The sequence below is a fragment of the Homo sapiens genome, chromosome 7, assembly GCF_000001405.40.
Source record: "Homo sapiens chromosome 7, GRCh38.p14 Primary Assembly".
In the NCBI taxonomy this organism is placed as follows: domain Eukaryota; kingdom Metazoa; phylum Chordata; class Mammalia; order Primates; family Hominidae; genus Homo; species Homo sapiens.
In genome coordinates, this window is record NC_000007.14 from 106421637 (window position 1) to 106426727 (window position 5091).

Genomic DNA, 5091 nt, shown 5'->3' on the forward strand with positions numbered 1-5091 from the left:
TCAGCCAAGCAGCCAGCTTGCCAGCAGACATGTGATCTGGGCAGATGACACAATCTCTTTGTTATTCAATTTCCTCTTATGCTAACTGAAAATAATACTAGCACTTACTTCCTAGGGTGGTTGTGGGTATTAAATGAGTTAATATTTGTAAAGCACTTAGAACAGAACCTGGAACTTATTAAATGCCGCATTTGTTAAGATACATACTGATACACATGCATACGGATGCAATAGGGATGGCATGGACGTTTGTGCCTTCAAAGACCTGGGTTTCAAGTCCAGGTTCTCTTTTACTGTCTGGGTCACTTTGGATGAATTACCTGCCCTGTCCAAGCCTGTTTCCTTACCTGTAAAATAGAACCAAAATACCTACCTAGAGTTATTTGAGAATGAAAGCAGGTATATATGAAAGCACAGAATCAGGCACATATGTGGTACTTAACAAATGTTTTTTCTTCTCTATTCCCTCGTAGGCCTCTTCCCAGTAGTCTCGCAAAGGCATAAGCCAATTTCTTCCCTCAAATCGGTGCTACTGTCTTGCCTACAATGCTCTGTTTTGTCTTCTTCCCCTCACTATTCTCTGCTTTGTTACCTCAGGAAACTTCTAGTGCTTTCTCTAATACTCTGAGGGTATTACAAATTCTTGGAAATGTTTAATTACAGCAGTTTTGAATTTCTAAGGAGCCAAAGGAGACCACAGGTCAGCTGGCATTTTCCCAGTACTGTCCCCACTGGAGGAGGTTAGCACTTTATTTGTGCCTGTGGGTGGGTGTGAATGTGGGCATGGGTAGGTGTTGGGGGGGGTGGCTCTCTCACACAGGCATGGGCTGTGATGTGCTGTGTCCACTCTGGATGTCTGAATTCTGGCTGCAGTTGTCAATAGAATCCATCTAGTGCCAGTCCCTCTCTCAGTACAGTCGGATGGAACCCTTTTACTTTGGACTTACAAAACAACTAAAGGGATGAAGCAGAAAGAACTACTGTTCTGTGAAACTTGCCCCGATTCATCATCAGGCTGTGTGCTCCCTGTTCAGAGACCATGTCCTCTTCTTCTTCTTCTTGTCCTCCAATCACCTTTAGCCATCAGATGCCCAATATTCATCAACCTCATCTAACCTGTTTCCTTGCTGTATCATCCTGGGCAATTTACTCAATGTATTAGCCCGTTTTTGTACTGCTATAAAGAAATGCCTGAGACTGGGTAATTTATAAAGGAAAGAGGTTTAATTGACTCATAGTTCTGCACGGCTAGAGAGGCCTCAGGAAACTTGCAATCATGGAGGAAAGGGAAGCAGTCACCTTCTTTACAAGGTGGCAGGAGAGAGAATGAAAGCACAGGAAAAACTGCCACTTTTAAAAGCATCAGATCTCGTGAGCACTCCTTCACTATCACGAGAACAGCATGGGGAAAACTGCCCCCATGATCCATTGAGTCTTCAGTGGAAGTGGGGACAGATGGTGTTGGGGTTAAGAGTCCTACATTTGGGTGAGCATCAGAATTTCCTGGTGCTTGTAAGAAAGTTAGGTAAGTTACTATTCCAGACCTATGTTCAGGAAAGGGCCTATGCAGTTGGGATTTGAGAATCGGAGCCTGTATTCCGACACCAGCCCTGCACCTAAGTATGGTCTTGGACAACTCTCTGACTTGTGGTTTCTTCACTTGTGGAGTGGAGATAACGGTACGGGCCCTCCCATCTCCCTGCATCATTGTGAGGGTAAAATGAGAAGGACAGGTGCAGGTGCTGATCATGAGTACAGGACACTTCCAGCTCCCTCAGCTATCGGTGTAATCCCCAGCTTGACATGTAGGCAGCTGCATTTTGGGGTCATTTGTGGCCTTGGGGACACAGAACTAATAATCAGGATTTTCCAACAATGTATTCAAATAAAGTCTGATGACTTCCGGCAGCTCTCTAACCATGAAGAATTATAGAACTTTCCTGGTACAGTAATACATTTAGAAAACAAAATAGAATCGCCATCTAAATAACTGAATTTCATTTTTTTTTTCAGGTCTTGATTAGGCATAGAGTTTGTCTTCTTAGGAATTAAGCCCAGAAGAGATAACAGTTCCAAACCACGCAAAAACATTTGTTTGACTAGGCTTTCTAGTAAAACACCACTCATCTTTCCTTCCTTCCTTCCTTCCTTCCAGTCTTTATTTCTTGACTGTGGTTCATCTTCTTTTTAAAAAAATTATCTCTTTTATATTGAGGCTTTCTATAAAGCTTCTACAAGTGCTTTTTGGAAGTAAGTTGGATTTAAGGCACGTGTAAAAGCCTGTGTCTCTCAAATTCCTCTGCCTAGAGTGAAACAGAATCTTAGTGAGAGATACAAAACAGCATTCTCTGGATTTACCCAAATCCATTCTGCAGCTGCTCCAACCACACACATCCTCACATCAAACTCATCCCCTAAAGTCTGGGATTCTCCAGGGATTATCTTACAGATACTGAGCATGACTGCCCACTGCTATGTGTGGCACCTGCTACCTTCTTCCTCACCTGCCTCTGCTTACGGGACTGGGGTCTCCATTGCTGCTGACAACCAAGGCAGCCTTAGAGAGCAGCACGTCTATGCTGGAGCACAGTGGAGGTGCCCACCACCACCACCCATGACACAGCTGCATCTGCACAGGGTCAAGGACACTGACATCAGCCTGGCTTTTGGGGCTGGCTGGTGCTGCTCTTGCCCCCTGCTTCCTGTAACCTAGGGATGCTTTTGTGATGAACTATTTTTGTTTACACTTGTTTTTTATTCCAATACCCTCATCTCAGGACCCAGGCGCAGGACTTCCCAGGACTTCTGGCCCTGGGCGCTGGGCCAGAAGACATCAGAGTGACAGGCACTGTGCTGTTCCTCAAACCCCACCAGGACCACCCCAGTCTCCATTCTAGTCCTGGTCCAGTGCAACTGAACCTAGTAGGTGCTTCTATTTCCCCCTCCTGTGAAGAGAGTCTTTCCTAGGAGACTCCATCACTCAGGTATGCAGACCCACAGGTAGGTTGAGCCACACATCATCCTGGCATTCACAGACTTACATCTAAATCCTAATCAGGGAGAGGAAGAGGACACAGCTATCTTAAGCTCAGGTTCCAGGTACAAAGTAATGAATGGGTAATTGGATAAATTACTGAATAAAAGAGGGAGAGAGAAATGGAATGAAAAGAAAAAGGGAAGGAAGGTAGATAAGTAAAAAGAAGAAAATAAAAGATTCTGGAAAGTAGTTCCTAACCCAAGTTCCAATCTCTCTCTCTCTCTCTCTTTCTCAATCATGATGGGATGGGGAGGGCAGAGGAATATGTTAGGACAGACTCCTCCACTTCCGTTCAAGTACCAATAACTAGATGTAGAAAGAAAGTATGCAAATTAGAAGACTAATGTTCTAAAATGAGTAAGAGCCTATTTGCTCACTCTTGGCTCTTAGGAAACTAGAGAACTCATGGGGAAGGCAGGCAAACAGAAGCAAGATTTCATCAGAACACTGGCCCCTTGTCAATTTATCACTCTGGTGAAACAGCGTGACGCTTGGGATTTCCCCAGAACGTCAAACTGCAATTTTACATGTGCTGCTTGGAAGCAAGCTGTGTAACTTCCTGTAATAAGGATTTCAAGTATTCAAGCAATAAATCTGAGATGCCAGAGCCTCTCTTAACACTGTCCTGTAGCTCAGCAACTCCAAATTAGCACAGCTCCACACATCCAAAGCCTGGAAAGGGTGGAAGATGAATATGAACGGACAGATCCCTCATGCTCACCCTTGGTGGTGAATTGAGTCATCAGCTGAGTATGGAAAGGAGTGGGGAACAAGCTCACAGGCTCTTTGTCTCCTTCGACTTTTGTTTCACATTTGCCAGGAGGTAAGGCCTTCATACCTGCAGCTGGGTCAAGTATCTGGAAACACGTGGGCTGCCAGCAGAGCCACTTCATGTCAGCATCAGAGTACAAAGTGAGTGTGAGACTGAGTGAGAATGTGAACTGCCAGGGTATTCCTACCCGTGTGGCCCAGGCCTGGCTGCAGGGAGGGCAAAGTCTGGCTGCAGGGAGGGGAAAGGTCAGCTACAGGTCCCACCACACATGTCCTCCAACTGCACTTTCCTTGTTCTAGCTTGGCATCAGCCCACCTTGCTGTGTGCCTTGCATGCCTCCTTCCTCTTCCTTTAGGAGGGGATAGAAGGGTCCAGCTGAGGATAAATACAACAATCAAGTCTTAGATAGCATTTGACAGCTATTTGATGAATGAATAAATAATAGATGCATAAATAAATGAATGAACAAATAAGCCAACAACTGGGTGTCAACAGGCAGACACGCACATTTTACAAATAGGTATTTCCCTACTTCTCCAGCGTGATAGAGTGGAGATCAATGGCTTTCACAATATCTTGTTAAACCTGAAAGTTTAACGAAAATATTCTCTTTTACTGAGTCCTTGTTAAATTAAAGAAAATTAGAAACAGCTACATATAGCCAGGGTAGGGGAAGGGGATGGTTGGGTAAGAAACCGAGAAACTTGAAGAAGGGGAGCAGATCATTCTGGTGGAGTAGGGACACCTGCCTTACCTGCACTCAAACATTCCCAAGTGTCGACTCCCAATTCCCAGTGAAGGCTGGAGGGGTGATGTTAATACCTCACACTGATAATCCACAGTGCCTCTCCTCAGGGTCCGCTGACTCTGACACCTTTCCCTTCCCCACTCTCCTCCCTCTTCCCTTCTAGCTCAAAGTTTGGGTGAGACTGAAAAGCCAATCTGGCTCCCACTTGCAGAGGAATCAAGGCCCCCAGAGTTTCAGAACCCAGAGGGCCCTTCGCTTAACACAGCACCTTCCTGAGAACTAGAAACAGGCGTCCCGATGGTAGTCACAGCTTCACAGGTGCATGGGGAAGTGAATGAAGATGTTGCCTTGTGTTAATTAGAAAAATATTCAATATCAGTCCTGGTCCTGGCGGGAAACAGATGACACAGTCAAAGTGGATAATGAAGGAAAGTGTGAGGGGAAGGCACCATTTACAAAGACGTGGGTGGGATTTAGGCAAACCTGCAAGGAATGGTATGGTATCCTGGGGCTAGCAACAGTGGGGAGCCCTGA

General features: G+C 45.3%; 2 annotated features.

Annotated features, from left to right (window-relative positions):
* Positions 3119–4318: an enhancer, noted in NCBI's record as "CDK7 strongly-dependent group 2 enhancer chr7:106065201-106066400 (GRCh37/hg19 assembly coordinates)". NCBI's record gives its function as "activates an origin of replication core promoter dependent on BRD2, BRD4, P300/CBP, MED14 and CDK7 cofactors, with strong dependence on CDK7, by STARR-seq in HCT116 cells {active_cell/tissue: HCT116}" and the evidence as "EXISTENCE:reporter gene assay evidence [ECO:0000049][PMID:35650434]".
* Positions 3702–3801: an enhancer, noted in NCBI's record as "active region_26484". NCBI's record gives its function as "activates an Ori minimal core promoter by ATAC-STARR-seq in GM12878 lymphoblastoid cells {active_cell/tissue: GM12878}" and the evidence as "EXISTENCE:reporter gene assay evidence [ECO:0000049][PMID:35858748]".